The following is a 22,778-nucleotide window of genomic DNA, read 5'->3' as shown; positions in this document are numbered from 1 at the left end:
ATTTTCAGTAGAGACAGGGTTTTACCATGTTGTCCAGGCTGGTCTCAAACTCCTCATCTCAAGTGATCCAACTGCCTCAGCCTCCCAAGTTATTCCCTTTTTATCATATTCTGTCTTCAAAGAGATTGAGGCTGGCAGGTTATCATCTCTGGCACTAAATATTTTACTTACTTATCTTTCATTTTGTGGCCTCCACATAAAGTTCCCAGTTCCTGTCATCTTTGTTAGAATGACTACTTCTTGGCCTTAAATCTTCTTCGTTTTTCTCCACTGCACCTCTTTTAAGCCAGTGCCTCTTTGTAAAGAGCAGAGCAGCCCAGTGACATGCAGGGGCCATACTTTGACCAGATGGGTTTGGGTTTCACCCTGAAATTTGCCATTTCCAGGCAGTATGAAATTGAGCAAGCGACTTTCTCTCTCCTAGCCTCAGTCTCCTCACTTCTAAAATAAAAATATGAATGCCTAACCTCATGGGGTGGTTGTAAGGATTAAAAATAATACTTGGATAGTCCCTGGCACACAGTATTTGTGCTACAAAATTAAAAATGTCTGGCATAACTGTTTGTACTAAAAGTAACCTGGGCCAGGCGTGGTGGCTCACCCCTGTAATCCCAGCACTTTGGGAGGCGGAGGTGGGCGGATCACCTGGGGTCAGGAGTTTGAGACCAGCCTGGCCAACATGGCGAAATCCCATCTCTACTAAAAGTACAAAAATTAGCTGGGCATGGTGGCAGGTGCCTGTAATCCCAGCTACTCAGGGGGCTGAGGCAGGAGAATCGCTTGAACCTGGGAGGCAGAGTTTGCAGTGAGCTGAGACTGTGCCACTGCACTCCAGCCTGGGCGAGACTCAGTCTCAAAAACAAACAAAAAAAAAAACAGTAGGATGTGTATACAATGAAGTGCAAAGATTTCCAACTTGTGTCCTGAGATAGTTTGCATGATTGGCAAGAAAGACCCTGGTCAGCCACCTTCCAGATGGTCACTGTAAATGGCAGCTACCCGGACATACTGAGAACTGAGAACCCTCCTCTGGTGGCCGGCCTTTGTATGGTCCATCAGCATATCACACACTCTATACCAATTTGATTTCTGGGTTTACAGGAGATGTTGGGACTATGGCGCAAGGCTTTTCTACCACAACTCTACATGGCATGCTCAGACCCGTTTTAATATATGCAGTGGCAACTGAGTATCTGCCTTAAAGCTGTGCAGGTGTTTCTATGTACAGCCCTAGCAGGGAATTATGGCTGTAAGAATACCTGGGTTCCTACAGTAGCCCAGAATTTCAGTGCCTCTTACAAAGCCATTCTGGTGACTTATGCAGGATCCAAAGGGTGATATGGGATTTTGCACATAGAAGGGAACTGGCTGAGAAGGAGAGGAGTGGGAGGGAGATTTTCTGTTGTTACATCCTTCTGTAACTTTTTAAATTATATGAATATATTCAAAAATGAATGGCTAAAATTTGAAAATAGGCACTTCACATATGGAGCTCTGGAGAACTTGGTTTGGTGTCAAAGAGCTATAGGGAGCACCAAAGTTTGTGAGATTTGTCCATTGCAGAGCTGACCTCCAGGTAACTGTCCAGATTCAAGATGTTCAAAGGGTTCTGATGCATTTTTCAGAGCCAGGTTAATATGTGACAGACAAGTGGAAAGCTCTTGACACATGTTTTGTGTTAAAAAAAAAAAATCCAGAAGATTACAGAGCATCTGTAACTTCTCATTCCAGCGCTGAGGAGTGGGGTGTTCAAAGACATTTTTGGACACTAAGAAGCTCATAGGAAGAGGCCTGTAGAGAGCTTTCTAGAAAAGCATTAGAAAGAGCACTAAAAAGCTGATCACCAGAACTGGCACAGAATGGCAAAGTTTCTCCATGCTGTCTCTAAAAGTGGATCCCTTCAAAAAAAATTTTAGAGAAGCAAAGAGAAAAACCAATTTGATGTATTTCCAAATTTGTCATACAACACATCCAGTAAAAAAAGAAATCAAGCAAGTTATAAAACAATTAACTAAAGGCAGAAAAAGCCTAAGAGTCTGAAAGGTACTCCTGGAATCGTCTGCAGTACTAACTCCACTAACACACTGCCGGAATAAAAGCATTCAAAGCCTCTGGTAACTGACCAAAAACTAAGGAGATCACTTCCACTCTCTTCCCAGCCTTCACTGCGCACTCCTCCCATTTCTCTACTTTACTTTGAATTTATTAATGTGTATTCTGTTGTAACTAATCACCCTTTAAGTCTTTGACTCTCAATCTTCCTGCACATTGACAGTTTAGAATCTCTGGTCAGATGCATTTATTATATAATAGTGTGTGCCAAGTACTCATAAGCAGGAAATATTATGTCCTAACTCCCACTAATGCTAAGCCATTCTGGTGACTTATGCAGGATCCGAAGGGCGATACAGGGTTTTGCACATAGAAGGGACCTGGTGCTTCATTCTTCTCTGCTGGCTTTTTCTTCTTTTTTTTCAATATTAAATCCTTGTTAAACATTTGTTTGGCCAAAGGATTAACAAAAACAAATAATTCTGCCGTGCATAGAGTTGAGCAAAGTTCTTAATTTCCCTGAATTGCCATCTGAGCTTCAGTCTTTAATTAGAAGCCCTCAAGTTGCTGGTGACCTTGGGGAACAGGACTGGGGAGATATACAACGATTGGTGTATAACTTGAATTTTTACAGGGCAAAGTGGACATGCAATTTCTTTGTGAATTAGCAACTTAAGAGTGAACAATGAAGTGGCTATATTTTCTGAATTCAAACCTGTGACATAGAATATGATATTACAACTGTACTTATGGGGATATTATAAGCCAGCTGAATTGAACATTTTTGTCAGCTTACAAAATAAGCTGTTTATAGTGATGATTCCCATGAAGGACTCTTAAGTGGTTGAGGAACAATGTTAGAAGCAGACTGATTTTTGTAGAGCATATAATTTTATATCTGTCACATTGTGTAACATGTCCTAGGAATTATCTTTTAAAGAATAAATAGAATGTTTCTTAGAAAATTATAAAATAACTTTGCTTAACTCTATGCAAATAAATTTGGAAAATGTAATAAACTGAAATGGATGATTCTTCTGGAACATATGAAATGCCAAAACTAACTTTAGAAAAGGAGAACCTTTAAATAGACCACAAAAGAAATAGAACTAATCCCCAAAGAGCACCAGGCCCGTTTACAATCGAATGCAAAGGCCTGTGCATACCTTGTTAATTTAGAGTAACAAAAAGAGATCCATAACATCTCCGGGAGGAAACAGAAGCACCTGCTAACTCCTTTGAGTGGAGGAAGTGGGTGCGGACAGAGAGGAGGCAGGGTTTTCAAAAAGGCCCCTATAAAATTGTATTCCATTTAGATGTGTAACTTGGTCAGGATTCCTTTTACTCTTACCATAAAAGCAGGAACTGTGCTAAGCAAATCAGATGCATTGTTTCTTTTTATACCCATAAGAAATTTTGAAGATAAGCACCATAATAGGGTTGTAGGAAAAAATGGTGGATAGGAGACAGAACTAATGTGCAGCTCCCACTTAGTTGAACAGAACAGTGTTTGGAGACTCACATTGTGAACTTTTGCTCCAAGAACCACCACAGGAACATACCAGGAAAACCAAAAGAATTCAAAGAGCCTTTGAAAAAAGTGGCTTGCCATTGCAAACACTGTGAGACAGTCGAAAAACTGTGAGTTCCCTAAGAGTGAGAGGGGGAAAAGTTGGCCTCTGAACTTACTTCCCCAATGGAGAACCTGAAATTCCAGATCATGGGGAAAGATTTAACCTTACTTAGAGCTGAAATTGATTTAGGGAGCCCAGCAAAATATAGCAGTAGAAGAAGCGGTGGGAAGATCAGCAGTAGGCACTCCTGATCTCCAGCTTGAGCCAAGGGAAGCCCTTCCTGGCCTTACCTCTTTGCAGACCTTCCCCAGCACCAGCCTGGAGCCCAGTAGCCCCCACTAGATGGCTAGATCCAGAGGACAATAACAGTTGCTGCAGTCTGGCTCTTAGGAAGCCCTGTCCCTAGAGGAAGGGGGAGAGCACCACATCAAGGGATCACCCCATGGGACAAAATAAACTGAAAAGCAGCCGTTGAGTTTCAGATCATTCCACTGAAAGTCTACTCAATTGAAACGGAACCAGAAAACTAATTATGATAATATGACAAAACAAGGTTCTGTAACACCCCCAGAAGATCACATTAGCTCTCCAGCAATGAACCCAAACCAAGAAGAAATTTCCAAATTGCCAGGAAAAGAATTCAGAAGGTTGATTATTAAGCTACTCCAGGAAGCACCAGGGAAAGGTGAAAAGCAACTTAAAGAAAATTAAAAAGCAATACCAGATATGGAAGAAAAAGTATCCAGAGAAATAGATATCATAAGGAAAAGACAATCATAACTTCTGGACATGAAAGACACACTTAGAGAAATGCAAAATACACTGAAAAGATTCAACAATAGAATCAAAGGAGTAGAAGAAAGAACTTCAAAGCTTGCAGACATGGCTTTTGAACTAACCCAATCTGACAAAGAAAAAGAAAAAAAATTTAATGAAAAAAGCCTCTAAGAAATTTGGGATTATGTGAAATGAACAAACATTTAACTGGTGTTCCTGAGGAAGAAGAGAAATCTAAAAGTTTGGAAAACTTACTTGAGGTAATAATCAAGGAAAATTTCCCTGGTCTTGCTAGAATTCTGGACGTACAAATACAAGCAGCTCAAAGAACACCCAGGAAATTCATCGCAAAAAGATCATCACCTAGACACATAGTAATCAGGTTATCTAAAGTCAAGACAAAGGAAAGAATATTAAGAGCTGTGAGGCAAAAGCATCAGGTAAACTATAAAGGAAAACCTATCAGATTAACAGCAGATTTCTCAGCAGAAACTGTGCAAGCCAGAAGGGATTGGGATCCTATCTTTAGCTTCCTTAAACAAAATAATTATCAGCCAAGAATTTTGTATCCAGTAAAACTAAGCTTCATAAATGAAGGAGAGGTTTTCAGACAAACAAATGCTGAGAGAATTCACCACAAACAAGTCAGCACTACAAGAAATGCTTAAAAGGAATCCTAAATCTTGAAACAAAACTGCAAAATACACCAAAATAGAACCTTCTTAAAACATAAATCTCACAGGACCTATAATATAATAACACAATGAAAAAGAAGCAAGGTACTCAGGCAACAACTAGCATGATGAATGGAACAGTACCTCACATCTCAATACTAGCATTGAATGTAAATGGTCTAAGAGCTCCACTTAAAAGATACAGAATGGCAGAATGGATAACAATCCACCAACCAAGTATCTACTGTCTTCAAGAGGCTCACCTAACACATAGGGACTCACATAAACTTAAGGTAAAGGAGTGCAAAAAGATAATCCATGCAAATGGACACCAAAAGCAAGCAGGAGTAGCTCTTCTTACATCAGACAAAAAGCACTTTAAGGCAACAACAGTTAAAAAAAAAAAGATAAAGAGGGATATTATATAATGATAAAAAGATTAGTCCAATAGGAAAATATCACAATCTTAAATATATATGCACCTAACACTGGAGCTCTACTAGACCTAAGAAATGAGATAGCAACACAATAATAGTGGGGGACTTCAACACTCCACTGACAGCTCTAGACAGGTCATCAAGACAGAAAGTCAACAAAGAAACAATGGACTTAAACTACACCCTAAAACAAATGGACTTAACAAATATTTACAGAACATTCTACCCAACAACTGCAGAACATACATTCTTTTTATCATCACTTGGAACATTCTCCAAGATAGACCATATGATAGGCCACAAAACAAGCCTCAACTGGGCATGGTGGCTCATGCCTGTAGTCCCAGCACTTTGGGAGGCTGAGGCAGGTGGATCACGAGGTCAGCAGATCGAGACCATCCTGGCTAACATGGTGAAACCCTGTCTCTACTAAAAATACAAAAAATTGGCTGGGTGTGATGGCAGGCACCTGTAGTTCCAGCTACTTGGGAGGCTGAAGCAGGAGAATGGCGTGAACCCGGGAGGTGGAGCTTGCAGTGAGCCGAGATCGCACCATTGCACTCCAGCCTGGGCTACAGAGCAAGACCCTGTCTCAAAAAAAAAAAAAAAAAAAAAAAAAACAAGCCTCAATCAATTTAAGAAAATTGAAATTAATCAAGCACTCTCTCAGACCACAGTGGAATAAAATTGGAAATTAACTCCAAAAGGAATCTCCAAAACTATACAAATAAATTGAAGTTAAATAACATGCTCTTGAGTGATCCTTGAGTCAACAATGAAATCAAGATAGAAATTTAAAAATTCTTTAAACTGAATGATAATAGTGACACAACTAATCAAAACCTTTGGGATACAGCAAAAGCGAGACTAAGAGGAAAGTTGATGGCACTAAATGCCCACATCAAAAAGTCTGAATCCAGAGAACAAATAGACAATCTAAGCTCACACTTCAAGGAACTAGAGGAACAAGAACAAATCAAACCCAAATCTAGCAGAAGAAAAGAAATAACAAAGATCAGGGAAGAACTAAATGAAATTGAAACATAAAAAATAAAAGATAAATGAAACAAAATTTTGTTCTTTGAAAAGATAAAATCAATAGATCATTAGTGAGATTAACCAAGAAAAGAAGAGACATGATCCAAATATGCTCAATTAGAAATGAAATCGGAGCTATTACATTCAATACTACAGAAATACAAAAGCTCCTTCAAGGCTGCCATGAACACCTTTATGTGCACAAACTAGAAAATCTAGAATAGATGGATAAATTCCTGGAAATATACAACCCTGCTAGATTAAGCCAGAAAGAAACAAAAACTCTGAACAGACCAATAAGAAGTGGCAAGATTGAAACAGTAATTTTTAAAAACTGCAAACACAAAAAGTCCAGGACCAGATGGATTCATGGCTGAATTCTATCAGGCATTCAAAGAAGAATTGGTACCAATCCTACTGAAACTATTCCAAAAGATAGAGAAAGATGAAATCCTCCCTAAATCATTCTAGAACTTCTTTGAAGTTCTTTTTTCTACTTGCTTGAAGTTCTAGCCAGAGCAATAAGACAAGAGAAAGAAATAAGGGGCATCCAAATTGATAAATAGGAAGTCAAACTGTTGCTGTTTGCTGATCATATGATCATATACCTAGAAAACCCTAAAGACTCATCCAAATAGGTCCTAGATCTGATAAATGAGTTCAGTAAAGTTTCAGGATACAAAATCAATGTACACAAATCAGTAGCACTTCTATACACCAACAGTGACCAAGCTGAGAACCAAATCAAAAACTCAACCCCTTTATCAAAAGCTACAAACCCCCTTTTACAAAAGCTATGGAACTCCTTTTACAAAGCTCCAAAAAATAAAATACTTGGGGATATACCTAACCAAAGAGGTAAAAGATGTCTACAAGAAAAACTACAAAGCACTGCTGAAAGAAATCATAGACAACACAAACAAATGGAAAGACATCCCTTGCTCATGGGTGGGTAGGATCAATATTGTGAAAATGATCATACCACCAAAAGCAATCTATAAATTCAAGGCAATTCCCATTAAAATACTATCATCATTCTTCACAGAACTAGAAAAAACAATCCTAAAATTCATATACAACAAAAACAGAGCCCACATAGCCAAAGCAATACTTAGCAAAAAGAACAAATCTGGAGGCATCACATTACCTGACTTTAAACTATGCTACAAGGCTATAGTTACCAAAACAGCATGGCACTGGTGTAAAAACAGGCGTGTAGACCAATGGAACAAAATAGAGAGCCCAGAAATAAAGCCAAATACTTACAGACAATTGATATTCAACAAAGCAAACAAAAACATAAAGTGGGGAAAGGACACCCTATTCAACAAATGGTGCTGGAATAATTGGCAAGCTACATGTAGAAGAATGAAACTGGATCCTCATCTCTCAGTTTATGCAAAAATCAACTCAAGATGGATCAAAGACTTAAATCCAAGACCTGAAACTATAAACATTCTAGAACACAATATCAGAAGAACAAAACTCTTCTAGACATTGGCCTAGGCAAAGAGTTCGTGACCAAGAACTCAAAAACAAATGCAACAAAAACAAAGATAAATAGATGGGACTTAATTAAACTAAAAACTTCTGCACAGCAAAATAAATAATCAGCAGAGAAAACAGACAATACACAGAGTGGGAGAAAATATTCACAAATCATGCATTCAACAAAGGACTAATATTCAGAATCTACAAAGAACTCAAACAAATCAGGAAGAAAAAAACAAATAATCCCATCAAAAAGTGGGCTAAGGACATGAATGGACAATTCTCAAAAGAAGATACACAAATGGCCAATAGGCATATGAAAAAAATGCTCAACCTCACTAATTATCAGAGAAATGCAAATCAAAACCACAATGCAGTACCACCTTACTCCTGCAAGAATGGCCATAATTGAAAAATCAAAAAATAATAGATGTCAGCATAGATGTGGTGAACAGGGAAGACTTCTACACTGCTGATGGGAATGTAAACTAGTACAGCCACTATGGAAACCAGTGTGGAGATTCTTTAAAGAACTAAAAGTAGAACTACTATTTGATCCAGCAATCCCAGTACTGAGGAAGAGAAGTCATTATAGGAAAAAGACACTTGCACATGCATATTTATAGCAGCAAAATTTGCAATTGCAAAGATGTGGAACCAGCCTAAATGCCCATCAACCAACAAGTCGATAAAGAAAACGTGATCTATATATATATACACACACACACCCCATATATATATACACACACACCTTTTATATATATACACACATATAAATGCCCATATATATATATATATACACATACATATAAATGCCCATATATATATGTGTGTGTATATATATACATACACACACCATGGTATATATATATATACACACACACACATATATATGGTATGTGTATATATATATATGGTATGTGTGTATATATATACATATACACACATGGTGTGTGTATATATATGTATATATATATAGTGTATATATATGTATATATATATACACCACAGAATACTATCCAGCCTTGAAAAGGAACAAAATAATGGCATTCGCAGCAACCTGGATGGACTTGGCGACCATTATTCTAAGTGAATTAACTCAGGAATGGAAAACCAAACATTGTATGTTCTCACTTAAAAGTAGGGGCTAAACTATGAGGATGCAAAGGCATAAGAATGATATAATGGACTCTGGGGACTTTGGAGAAAGGGTGGGAGGCAGGTGAGTGATAAAAGACTACAAATAGGGTGCAGTATACACTGCTTGGGTGATGAGTGCAACAAAATCTCAGAAATCACACCTAAAGAAATCCATGTAACCAAACACCACCTGTTCCCCAAAAACTATTGAAATAATAAGATAAAATAAATCTATGATTAATCACAAATGGATGGACAGAGACAGCAGAAATTAAATTACCAAAGAAAAACTACACATTTCAGGGGTTTTATGAACATGGGAAACTTTAAGACAGACGGCTTTCTTTGTGGATTGTTTAGTGGATTTATTTCTTCTCTAAAACATTTTAAAGAATTTTAAAAATTAAAAAATTAAAAAAGAACTGTAATAGTCCCAGCTGCAATCTACATTTTCATTTCTAATAGACTTTCATCACAGATATATTAATTGACAAATCTTAAGGTTTCTAATATAAATTTCTAATGCATCTTTTTATGTATGTATAAATTTATACTGAAAAATTATATGCCAAAAATACACTGAGAATTCAGCTGACAAATTAGAGTTCCACAGTCTAGGATGATTGAGATTTTCACCAAATATCCAAGGATCTCAAAGTTCTTTAATTTCATATCATTTCCCTCCTGCTAAGCATACCAAAATACTGGTCAGCCAACTTTAAATTATTAACTAATTATTTTTTTAAGTTGGGGTCTTACTCTGTTGCCCAGGCTGGAGTGCAATGACGTGATCGTAGCTCACTGCTGCCTCAAACTCCTGGATTTAAGTGGTCCTTTCATCTCAGCCACCCAAGTAGCTGTGACCACCACACCTGGCTAAGTTTTTTAAAGTTTTTTGATAGAGATGGGATCTGGCTATCTTGCCCAGGCTGGTCTTGAACTCCTGGCTTCAAGCTATCCTCCCACCTCAGCCTCCCAAAGTGCTGGGATTACAGGCATGAGTCATCACGCCTGGCCCCAAATGTTTTAAAAAGTGGAATGTAACAGGGTGAAGCTTTGAAGCTTTGAAGTCTGTCATGCCACCTGGGACTAGATCTACCTCCTGCACCTGTAAAAGATGAGGCTGGGGACAAATGTGTTTATCCTAATCACCCTCATATCTTATATAAGTGAATTTGTGGGGCTTTGGGTACCTCAAAGTGAAGAATGCAGCTGACATCCCTGCTCTGAAAGAACTTACAGTGTGGTGGGGAGGACAGTCAGTAGTAACCAGTCATCACTAGGGCAGTGCTGGTCACAAAGTAAGTGCTATAGAGTGGATGGCAGGGAGTTCATGTAGACTCGCCTGAGATAGGGTTCTCAAATTCATTGGAATCACCTAGGGAGCTTTAAAAATATCCCCGTGGCTGGGCCACAACCGCAGACTAATTGAAGCAGGATGTCTGGGCTGGGAGAGGCAGGCAGCAGACTCTTTAAACACCCACGTGATTCCAAGACACAGACATGTTTGGGAACAGTGGCGTGGCAGGTCTGTGGTGGCTGGTGAGGGCGGGGTGGGGGACCAGGAAATATGCATCCCAATAGCTGATAGAAGCCAAGTTTCTAAAATTCAAGTAAGCTGTTGTTTCACACGACGCAATGGCCGAGTGAGGGCAAAGACAATTTTCTGTTGCCTAAATATAGAATGGAGCTTGCAGGGGCAAGACACGTAACTCTATTGATTTTGCCTGGCCTGAACACGTCACCAGCTGAGAGGGCTCATGAGGCATGGTTTTGTGGTCTGTGTAGTCGGGCGGGTCTTCCACACACAGACACGGGGTGCGGCAAGTGTCGCCAAGAGTCCTCCTTAGGTTTGCTTGGTTCAGGGAATCCCAGGTGGGACAAGCCACCCCTTCTGAACGTATCTCCCCATCTCATCAAACCATGGAATGCAAAATCACTTTTATAAGAAATGCTCAGTTTGTTAATAGCTTTCTAGGAGTTTTCTTCCCCCTCTGACTTTTCTCATGGTTTCGTAATTCATTCATTGTGTCATGAGGTGAATTGCGTCCCTCAAAATTCCTGTGTTGAAGTCTTAACGTCCTGTACTTCAGAATGTGAATACCTTTCAAGAGGTAATTAAGTTAAAATGAGGTCATTGGGGTGGACCCTGATACCGTATGCCTGGTGTCCTCATCAGAAGAGGAGATGAGGACACAGACACGCACAGAGGGAAGACCAGGCAAGGACACAGGGAGAAGATGCTGTCCACAAGCCAAGGAGAGAGACCTCAGGAGAAACCAACCCTGCCCACACCTGGGTCTCAGACATCTATCTTCCAGAATGGTGAGAAAATAAATTCCCATTGTTCAAGCCACTCAGACTATGGTATTTGTTAGAGCAGCCCCAGCAAACTAATCTACATTTCTTTTTTAATAATTTCTTTTAACAAGCATTTACTTAGCACCTACAGAAGTAGCCCAATTTGGACTCATGAACACATAATTTCTTACTACTTTAGAGGACATGATTTCTGGAACATGCTTTCCTAAATAGAAGTCAAATGTTTTTGTTTGCTTCTTCTTTTCCAGAACCTGTGCCATATGTATTATTGCATTTTTCAATTTCAAATACCTACTTCCATATAAGGTCAATTCGAAATGAAAATATGAGCTTTCTGTAGATCACCATCCCTACATTGAACTGTTCCGTACTTAGTTTGGGACATGTTTATCCCTTGAGCACTGTGTGATTGTTTATAAATTATTTCATACCTGTCCCTCATTTATGACTTATCTGGCTTGTTTTGTCCATGAGGTTTCTAACTGGGAAAAAAGTATCGAATAAAGTCACCTTTAGAAGTTTTCACTGTATGATAATATACCAGAATATAATGAAAATTTTCTAATGAAAATGACATGTTCATATTAACATTAAAATATTCCCCAGTAAAGTTGAGCATATACTCACAAGCTAAGAAAGACAATCACAAAACAATCTTTTTTATAATCTCATTCTGGAAAATAAATATTTACCTATACATGGAAAAATGTCCAAAAGCTATATGCTTGTAGTGGGGTTTTATTGGATACTTTTCACTCACATCCATCCTCACTTCACATTCTTAATAAAAGTCCTGATTTCCAAAAAGAAATTGAGGAAATAGAGAAGAGAAAACATCAGTGTAAGATTTTTAATAATTCCCTAGAATGAGTTTCTAGATTGAAGGAGACACTAAGTCCAAAACAATCAATGAAAATAGTTTCATATCAGCCCAAATCACTGACATTTCAAAATGGTGAGGATGAAGTAAGATCCTACAAGCTTTCTGAAAGAAAAGAAAACAGCAGCAGCGACAGCATCCACAGGTGACAAGGAAGGGATGGGAATTAGAATTTAGCTTTCTTTTTTCCCAGCAACAACATTGGGAGGTAGATTGCAAAGAAATAATACTTTCAAAATTCCAAAGGAAAACCATTTTTTAATCTAAAATTCTATTCCTAGCCAAACTATCTATTGAGGAGGAAGGTAGAAGAAAAACATTTTTTCAGACACTTTCTTAAGGTAATGGAAACGTGCTCCACCAAATAAGGTAAATAAATGAACAAAAATAAATACATGGGACTCAGGGAACAGGATAACCAAGAGTATAGTCAAAGAAATTTCAAGAAGGAAGGTTAATGGGGACCCAAAAATGACTGCTGACCAGCAAGAATGAAGGGCAAGCAAGACCCATGGCAGGAGTTCTAATATTTGAGGTTGTGGAATGTGCAAGGCTCTGTATCAATAGCCACCCTGGAGCTGAACAATCAGACATGGCAGAAGTCAAAAGCACCTTCTGTTTTATTGGTGAGGTTCACAATGACGATGGCAAATGACTGAAACCAAAGGGAAACACAAAAAATATGTTCGTAATCTGAGCCGCTACACAGACATGAGATGCCTCATGTGGGCGAGATCTCCCTGATCCCTGTAGAAAGCAGTGAAGTTGAAAAAGCAAAGCTATCAGGATACAGCCACATTGTTTACATATAGATGGAATATCCCGGAAAGACCACCCAAGACTCTGCCTTGTGGACAGAGGAACAGCGTGGCTGGGGAAGTTGTGCCCTGGATGCACACTCTTTGCATATTTGTTCCTTTGGGCTTTTTATTGGATAATGTATCATAGCATCAATAAAGGGAATAAAATTAAATTCGGCTGGGCATGGGGGCTCACGCTTGTAATCCCAGCACTTTGGGAGGCCGAGGCGGGCAGATCACGACGTCAGGAGATCGAGACCATCCTGGCTAACATGGTGAAACCCCATCTCTACTAAAAATGCAAAAAAAAAACTAGCTGGGCTGGTGGCGGGAGCCTGTGGTCTCAGCTACTCGGGAGGCTGAGGCAGGAGAATGGTATAAACCCGGGAGGCGGAGCTTGCAGTCAGCCAAGATTGCGCCACTGCACTCCAGCCTGGGTGACAGAGCAAGACTCCATCTCAAAAAAAAAAAAAAAACAACAATCAAATTCATTCTCTAAAATAATAAGGACAAGGATAAGAACAGAGAGAGGCTTTGAATACTCAGAAAAGATCAAGTAGTCAGCACTTTCCTCTGTAGAGGCTGACCTAGCCATGAGTCCTGCAGAGCTATAGTGATCAGAGAGCAGTAGGCTGAGTCTCAGGGCTCCAGAGTCCTGGGAGTGGGCGTGTGGGAGCAGAAGGATGAGCTGCAGGAAGGAATTCTCTTAAAAAGTAATAGAAAGCTTAAATATAAAACCAGGAGCGCAACGTGTACCGAAAGTAGAGCAAATGACAAAGAGATGAAAAGAAAGAGAGAGAAAAATGTTTTAAAAATTGCATGTCCAACACTTAAACTGGGATTCATGCATGGCTGGCTGCTCTGCGATTGAAGGGTAAGGTGGGGGTGGCTGCCAAGCTGAGAGCTGAACATCCAAGCCTTACTCTGGAAGTTGAAAGCCTTTGGATAGACTCCAGAGTTCCGAAATAGCTACATCAGGCAGATCCCGCCAGGGCAACAGTTGTCTAGGTGGGGAGATGGATCCCCGGTGCTTCCCCCTCTGCCATCTTCCCAGAGCCCTCTTCATGACTCTCTTTTTTCTCATTTCTCCTACCTTGTTTTTATTCATCAAGATCATGCTTTGATTCTGCAAAAATGTCTTTAGCATCTTGTTCTGGTTTCTTAAATCCAATATCTTATCTGCTTTTAGGAAAACTCCGATGGCAATTTTCTGGTTGTACTGATGCAGAGCAGGTGAGCCCCACAGTGGGCTCAGCCTGCGAGGGTTCTTGGCCTTGTCCAGGAAGGAATTCGAGGGCAAGCCAGAGGCAGAAGAAAAGAGCTTTATTGAGGCAGCAGTGTGCGTCATGCTCTGTGACTGCTCCTGCAGGGCAGGGCTACCCCATAGGCACCGAGGAGCAGCTCAGGGCAGTTTTGCAGTCCCATTTATACCCATTTTTAATAACATGAGAGTTAAGGGGCAGTGTATGCAGAACTTCCAAGGGAACATGCGGGTTAAAGGGCGGTTTATGCAGAACGTCCTAGGAACATGCGAGTTAAGGGGCGGTTTATGCAGAACATCCTAGGGAAGGGTAGTAACTTTCGGGCCATCGGGTCTTCTCATGGAAAGGGTCAGTAACTCGCGGGTATTGCCATGGCGATGGTAAACTGACTTGGCATGCTGGTGGGCCTGTCTTATGGAAAGCTGTTTCTACCCCATCCCTGTTTTAGCAAGTCCTCATTTGGTTCCGTGTCCGAGCCCTGGCTCCAGAGTCAAGCCCTGCCTGCTGCCTCAGTACCTCTTGAACTGGTTAGCTGGTCAGGTTTCCCACAGAAAAATCAAACCTGGTCTAGGACAGAACTTTTCATGTGATATAATTTACAACCTCCCTCTTGGAAGAAATGTGAATTCCTGATCAAATGTTTAAGCAGTTAGGCGGTAAAGTTTAATGGAATTGAGATCTCTTCCAGGACACTGGCTTCTCACCCCTCAGTCTGTCAGCCGGGTTGATGATTTCTAACAAGACATTCTTTATCTTATAGTCAGGCTGAGAGATCTCACTTAGCCTTTTTCATTAAAATGTTCCTAGCAAGGGTTAGTATTTCAGGAGGCTTGTCTCAGGTTTCTTTCCTTAGAGCAAGTTTGAAATGAGTTTGTCACATGCTCATCGCTAAATGACGTGAATATTTTAAATCATGCAGTCAGTGAGGTCCCTTGCTTTGGGTATAGCACAACTATGCCTAGAGCCCTGTTCCAGGGACTCTGTTCAGAGACAAAGCCTCCGGAGTTCAGCCCCACTAGGGGGGAGGCAGGCACGTGGAGGTGGCGGGGGTACCGAGGGATTTATCTGCTCTCAGATTGCTTCCACAAACCTCCTTATATCAGCCACCCTCCCTTCATCCTTCCCCCCAGGAAACTCTAGTGCTGCTAGCTTTCCCCACTTCTCAGGTAGCCACTGCCATACCAGGTGTACTTGTCTCAGGACCACGAAGCCTGTCCCGTCTCCGCTGACCTCCCAGCTCCCACAGCTTGGCTTCTCTGACCCTTTCTCCTTCCCATTTTGACCGTCTCCATGTGCCCATGTGCTTCTGCCCTTTTTCCACGAGTTAGTAAGTAAGGTGTGGAGAGCAGCATTCATGCCAGCTGCCCCTGAAACTTCTCTTTCTTGTTTATAGTTTTGTCTCCTCCAACCGCCCCCAGCCAGTATTCCAAAGCCTGATATACTTTGGGGAAATATCCTCAATTTAAAAATTAAAAAATCTTTTGTAAACCATAGGGCTCTTATTCTCCTTTCATCGTGTTTCAGTGTTTTCTTCTTTACCTGAAGGTCATTTCATCTTTACTTTGTTTGAAATGGCGCATTTAATAAGCTCTCCTGGGTTATCCTTCGCTTCCTGGACTCAAATGCCCCAACTCAGGACTTTCCAATCTCTTCACAAGGATCAGCCCCTTGGAAACCAAAGCAGAAATGTACATTTCCATGCCCTTTGCTATGGGTGTTGCTTTCTTTTTACCTGACTATTAGCATAAACACGCATTAATACTTTTTCACTTAAATGTTACCAAAGAAAGGTCCATTGAAAAATGGGTACACATCCCGACGCTTTAGGAGGCTCAGGCAGATTACTTGAGCCCAGGAGTTTGAGGCCAACCTGGGTAACGTGATAAAATCCTGTCTCTACAAAAAATACAAAAACATTATCCAGGCGTGGTGGCACATGCCCGTAGTCCCAGCTACTTAGGGGGCTGAGACAGGAGCATCGCTTGAACCTGGGAAGTTGAGGCTGCAGTGAGCCATGATCATGCCACTGCACTCCAGCCTGGGTGACAGAGTGAGATCCTGTCTTAGAAAAAAAAAAGGTACTCGAGTCTTAGACCAAAGATTTTGTACTTCTCAGGCAAATATTTCTTTCAGGAACGTTTCTTGGTCTCCACGAAAAGCAGCTTAAGTGCTTCACACTCCCAGAGAGAGGGAAAGAGACATGGTAGTGGGGCGGCTACCCCATTAAAGAATGTCAGATCATCTACTCCAAGCCTTCAAGTTAGAGACAAGCAAAAGGAGACCCAGCAAGTTATAGTCGCACAGGGAGTTACAGCCATACAGGCCATTTCAGTTGCACAGATAGTTTCAGTCACACAGGCAATTACAGCTTCAAAGATCATTTCAGCCACACAGGTCATTTCATTTGCACAGCACGCTTCAGTCACAGAGCTAGTTTCAGTCACACAGGGTGTTTCAGCCACACAGGTAGTTACAATCTCACAGGACATTTCAACCACACAGGTAGTTACAGTCTCACAGGTTGTTCAGTCACACAGGTAGTTACAGTCTCACAGGGTTGTTTAGTCACACAGGTAGTTACAATCTCACAGGGCATTTCAGCCACACAGGTAGCTACAGTCTTGCAGGATGTTTCCGCCACACGGGTAGTTACAGCCTCACAGGGTACTTCAGCTGCATGGGTAGTTACAGTTTCACAGAGTCTCTCACCCACACAGGTAGTTGCTGTCTCACAGGGTGTTTTGGTCTCACAGGGTTCAGTCACATAGGTAGTTACAGTCTCACAGAGTGTTTCAGACACACAGGTAGCATCAGTCTTACAGGTAGTTACAGTCTCACAGAGTGTTTCAGTCACGCAGCTGGTTCCAGTCGCTGAGGTGGAACCACCAGCCGTCAGTGTCTGCCCTCCCTCAGAATGAAGCCATGGTGGCCATGGTTGACCAGAACGCGTGGCCTTGTCTGTACAAGCTCCATTTCTTCATGTGTCCCCATCACATTACACTTAGTGTCAGTGTTTCAGGCACCTTCATGCTTTTCCAAAAGTGTTTCATACCATTTCTCAAATGTTTTCAGTTTGGCCATATCCCAAATGTATTTTTGCCAAATTTCTTCCTCTTCAATCTGTCTACATTTCAAAGAAAATTTGAGCCATCTGTTTCTGTTTCATTGGCTTCATTGTTCAAAATTCTCTGTGGTAGAAACTAAGTGCAAGAAGTCTTTCAAATCTCTACTTAAGCCTTCCACACCTTTCTCTGAAGCACTTCATAACCAAAGGGTCTGTGGAATTAAGTTCTTATTAGAACACCTCATTTTAACTCAATGCCTTCCCTGTTTCTACTGGGATCGCACACCTGCTCACCAGTGAAATGTTAACTGGGAGATGAGTCTGGGGGAGCCAGGGCCCTTATAGCATGAGTGGATCACTCACCCAGATTACCCTCCTCTCCCTCCATGCCTAACCTGCTCTCTGTGTGCTTAGGGCATGTACTCCAGGAGAACACAGACAGCATCTCTTCTCTATATACTTCTCTGCGTTGGAATAAATGCAATAAAATAGGTGCCATTTATGTTGTTATACTAAAAATTAAAAGCAGAAGAATACAATGAAACTGCAATTCTCATTTTAAGCAAAATAAGCATACATCTAAAATGAGAAGTAGTTTGTTTCATACTAAATCACATTTATTAAGAATAGAAGGAACTTGGAATCAAATTGCATGTATATTTTTGTGTCCTGAAATCTTTTCATTCAATATTGTACCTTGGGCACTTTTATTAAACCTATTCTTTGAAAACATGGTTTTATGGCTATATTGCATTTAATTTTACAATTATCTTTTAAACTCTTTCCAATTTTTTATATTTATAAATCATGCTCTGTCTCAGAGGACTTGAGTAATTTATTTAACAGCTCCCTTAGAAGTTGGGCATTTTGGTTCTTACACATTTTCCCTACTACAAATAACAATTGATTCTTAATGGCATTAATTTTAAAACACATTAATTTTACTCAGTGAGAGGGTATAAAATAACTAAGAATCCATTTCCTGAGCCTCTCTAACATACTAGAGGAAAAATTAAGAGAGAAATAATAATTTCCATTTAAAAAGACAACTGGAAATTTTCAACCAAAAGATTAATCACAGTGATTAGCCAAAGAATTAAATCATGTGAAGAAAAAAATTTAAAAAATCTTCATTGAATAATGCATTTCAAGGTGGAGCTAGAAACAGATGCTGGGAATCATAGACGCATGATCCAGAAGGGCTTGTGAGCATGAGAGCACTGGACAAATAACGTCCAGGAAAGTCACAGAGGAAAAGTAACAACTCATAAACCAGTACAGCGGAACTGAATTCAAAAAGCAAATAATAATAATAAATCACAATTGTTTATAAAATGTGTATTTGATGAGAAAGATAAAAATAATGGTGAAAAATGACAAAGTAATGAGAGACCATAGAACAGGACTTAACAAGAGGGAGAATGTGAACTACCATGTGTGGATAATTCTGGATGTACAATTCAGATTCCGATGACATGTATCCTGAAACCTAGAGGTTGACAAGATTGCCAAACATTTTAAGCATTAAGGTAAAAGTTCACATGTAAGAGAAAAGCAGGGCAATTATTCTTCTGAAAGCAGACTGACAACAAACACAGAGTAATGCTATGAATTCCAGAGAAGCAAGTCTGCAGGCACACCCCAGCTAGCACGGGGAGAAGAAGGAGGAAGAATGGATGCTACTTAGACGATCCTAGTTTTTTTTGCTTGTTTGTTTGTTTGTTGTTTTAAAAGAGCAGACCTTGGCTTTGAATTCTTTGCTTACTGGCATATGACATAACTTTTCTGAATCTCTGTGTTTAACTTTGTAATGTGGAATTAGCAAAATCCACCCCACTTGCCACACAGAGTTTCCGTTAGGATGACGTTCCTTTGTAAGTTGTGAAGAGTCATATAAATGTGAGTTGATTTTGCGTCACTCATCTGAAGACGAGAGGGCTCTCTGGAGGCTTTCGACACTGAGAGGCCTTAGATGAGTCCCAGGGGCCAGGACGAGCCTGCCTAGCCTCTGCACTTTGTTGACCCAGATGCGAAAGTCAACATCCCTTCGAATTCCCCTAGATAGCCCATTCTTATAAGATCGTCAGGAACCAGTGTGAGCTTTATTGAAGATTCTTGATGTGAAGATGGAAGTGAGGCACACACTTCACATTAAACAGTCAAACCCACATGTGGCATTTCTGTCCCCGAGGGCTGCCTTGCTGTTCAAAACTGGCCCTTCTCTTCTCCATCCTAGGTGCCAGTCTTCCTCTCTCCTTTTCCATCTTCTCCTCCTCCTCTCTGTGTCCATAGAACATTCCGCCTTTCCCAGTTACTACTCCCAGGATTACAAACAGAATTGCTTCAGGATGCTCAGGAACATCGTACCCTTCCCATTAATGGGATGCACTCTGTTTTGAAAGCAGTTGGAATAATGGAGCAAAAACAAACAGCTAATGAAAAATAAATTTAAATAAAACCTTTTACACAGAAAACAAAACACTAGAAGAAATTTTACTACTTTACTGGAATATTACGCAAATAATCTGTTTATTAAACAAACTCTCATTGGTGTCCAAAGAAGAAACAAAACAAATTAAGTATCACAAGCAAGAGCATAAGAGGGAATGCCAAGTAAGTGCTCAGAGGGGGAGAGCCTTGACTATTTGAAACAAAAGACCCTGAATCTGTGACCCTCAAAGAATTCTTCTAGAATGCATAACCTTGTCAGGAAGAAACATGCACATAGGTAAAAAGTAAATGAACAATATGTGTATGAAATAGTGAGATTTCTCAAGACAGAAATGTAAGAGGTAGCTAATTATTAGCCAAGGAGGGGTTTAATCACTATGAGCCATGAGTTGAGAATAAGAAGAGATCATTGACGGCTGAAATCAACCGAGAAGCTTCATGGGAAAGTTAGACTTCAACGGCTCACGAAGGAGCTGTGGGGAGAAATCAGGGAGCAGGCATTTCACTAGGGGGCATGGTGTGGGAGGAACTGTGGAATGAGTGTTTGGGGTGCTGGCTTCACCAGGGGAGATGGAAGAGCTAGGACTGAACCCCTGCAGTGGAGAATCGTGAATGTCAGACTGGAGCCTATCCAGTAGGAAATCAATGCTCACGCACCGTGGTATGATGCAGTCGATGGCGTGTGGGGAGGCCAGTCTGATGAAGGAAGCATGCACCTGCAGGAAGGTAGGGAGATGAGAGGAGGCCGTGTTCTGAAGTACTAATTAAAGGATATATTTAAAATAGATGTAGTCCTATCAGTCTCCCTCAGTTCACTCTGCTTGTCCTTCCCACAGTGAATTTTAGGAAAATGACTCGATAACTGCAACGGTGATGTCATGTGTGTGTCTACTTTAGAGAGCAGATGGTCGATCTGGTGCTAATTTGCCCAATACGGTAGCTACGCGGCAATGAAATTCCAAAACTGGCACAAGGCGGGCCTGGTTCCAGGTGAGTGGTGGCCTGAGAAAACAGAAAAAAAGAAAATCTGCAAGCTGCAGCAATTGATTAGATGTGAAGATGGGGAGGTAAAACAAGGAAGGGGTCAGAGCTAACCCTGGGGTGAAAGTGAAAAGTGAGGGTGTCATGTCTGAAAGTGGAGGCATAGGAGAGGGATGGCCTGGGGAAGAAGGTGGGTACGTGGTGTGCTGGCTGGGACTCCAAATACGTGCAGCAAAGATTTTGAAAAGGGACAAAGAAAAGTCAGGCAACGCCAGGAAACGTGTCAGAGCTGAATATCACAGCATGTCTCCTAAGCCTCTCCCTCCCCAAATAAACCATGCCAACCCGGATACTCGCAGCTGGCATGTCCATTTGTGTCTGGAGCACTCCTGCCAGCCTGTGAAAGAAGTTCCTTGGAAAGTCCAGGCATTAATGCCACGGTCCATGTGGCTCCTGGCCCGGGGACTCTGATTCTAGGTCAGGGAGTTGCAGAGCCTGCGCTGTGGTCCCTGCTACCAGGCCTGCTGTGGGCCTGCAAAGGTGCAGGTACTTTCCCTTCCTGCCCAGTCCAGCTCCATAGGCAGCTCCTCCCAGGGGAGGTACAAAGGGTCCTGCAAGCTGGACGAGGCAAACAGGGGAGGGAGAGAAAGGGGAGATCCCCAGCCAGGTGAGAGAGTTAAAGCCCAGAGCTCCAAGCCTTACATGTCCAACCTGATGGGGGCAAGAGGAGGACAAACCCTTGCAGAGATCACTCAGTAAAAGTTGTTACTTTTTCCTTCCCAAAATGAATCCAAATGCCCTTCCTTGAGCTGCAGGATTTCCACGAAACTTGTGGGGCTACAGGCCAGTGGAACACTTCCAAAGGGCTTGACACCAGGCCAATGGCCTTCTTAGAACACTGTCATCATTGATTCTGTATCTACAGAAGTCATGTAACTGTGGCTGCCTCTTTTCAATGGAAACAGAGCGAAATACAACCTGGTCAGCTAAATCGTGCTGACCTTAAAAACACTGCATCCTCTTAGGCAACCACTTTGGCTTATAAACCACATGTACAATATTCCTGCTACTTCAAACATGACTTTTTTAATGAGCCAAAAAAAAAAAAATCTAAGTTTGTAAATAAACCGAATTCATTGCCATAATGTTTCTAGTCTGTAAAGAAAATAGCTACTCTTCAATGGAGCATGTATGGTTGTTTTCATCACTAAAGCATGTCATTTCATTAGACCACTCTGTAACACACCACCGCTGGATGTTTCACACTTGATATTGATTATTTAACTAATCATGTTTACTAAACTGGTCTCTACCTTTCCCCTCTTCTTCTGGTTGGATTTCATGCTGTCTGGGAGGACACAAAACCCCCTTGCACATTTGTCTTTAATGAAGGAGAAGTTAAGGAAGATCATTGTGTAAGGGTAGAGATAAATGACGATGGCAAAACTCAAAAAGAATAGAACGAAAGTCACCGGCAAGATTACTTGTCGGTCTGCACAAGCCTGAAAACAAACGATTAGCGATTAGCGTTAGAACAAAAACAGCATCCTGTGTAAATGACAAGGCCACGCAAACACACTAAGTTGGCCCTCCAGGGATCCCGATGGGCAGAGCAACACTTAGATAATCCTGTCAGAGGGAGTTGTTGGAATTAAAGAACCAGCTTCTCTTTGGTTCAAGGAACACTTGCTGTTGAAGGCCAAGCTGGGAAACGGATGAATAAAAGAGATGCCGACCAGCATATAAACAAACAAGACTGAATTATTTTTGTGAGTCATTGTGTGTTCATGTTTTAATGATTTGATAAAAGAATTTCAAAACTAATTATGCCTAGC

The 22,778-nt window shown here is 40.9% G+C and overlaps 1 long non-coding RNA gene across 2 annotated transcripts in view, besides 2 other annotated features; it reads left to right on the top strand.

Moving 5' to 3' along the window:
- The window catches only part of LINC01622 (long intergenic non-protein coding RNA 1622), a 140,330-nt gene extending 118,245 nt beyond the window's left edge, over positions 1-22,085 (top strand). For both annotated transcript variants that reach the window (NR_027116.2, NR_027115.3), the window contains 2 exons: positions 20,799-20,952; positions 21,759-22,085. This is a non-coding gene — a long non-coding RNA (long intergenic non-protein coding RNA 1622). The remainder of the gene's footprint in view (positions 1-20,798; positions 20,953-21,758) is intronic.
- Positions 20,960-21,460: an enhancer, noted in NCBI's record as "H3K4me1 hESC enhancer chr6:961867-962367 (GRCh37/hg19 assembly coordinates)". NCBI's record gives its function as "activates a minimal SCP1, AML or CMV promoter by ChIP-STARR-seq in naive H9 embryonic stem cells {active_cell/tissue: H9 hESC(naive)}" and the evidence as "EXISTENCE:reporter gene assay evidence [ECO:0000049][PMID:30033119]".
- Positions 21,461-21,961: an enhancer, noted in NCBI's record as "H3K4me1 hESC enhancer chr6:961366-961866 (GRCh37/hg19 assembly coordinates)". NCBI's record gives its function as "activates a minimal SCP1, AML or CMV promoter by ChIP-STARR-seq in primed H9 embryonic stem cells {active_cell/tissue: H9 hESC(primed)}" and the evidence as "EXISTENCE:reporter gene assay evidence [ECO:0000049][PMID:30033119]".
- Positions 22,086-22,778: the final 693 nt, after the last annotated feature.

The sequence above is a fragment of the Homo sapiens genome, chromosome 6 (genome assembly GCF_000001405.40).
Source record: "Homo sapiens chromosome 6, GRCh38.p14 Primary Assembly".
Lineage (NCBI taxonomy): Eukaryota > Metazoa > Chordata > Mammalia > Primates > Hominidae > Homo > Homo sapiens.
The sequence above is the reverse complement of the archived record's forward strand: the minus strand, read 5'-3'. Positions and strand labels throughout refer to the sequence as shown.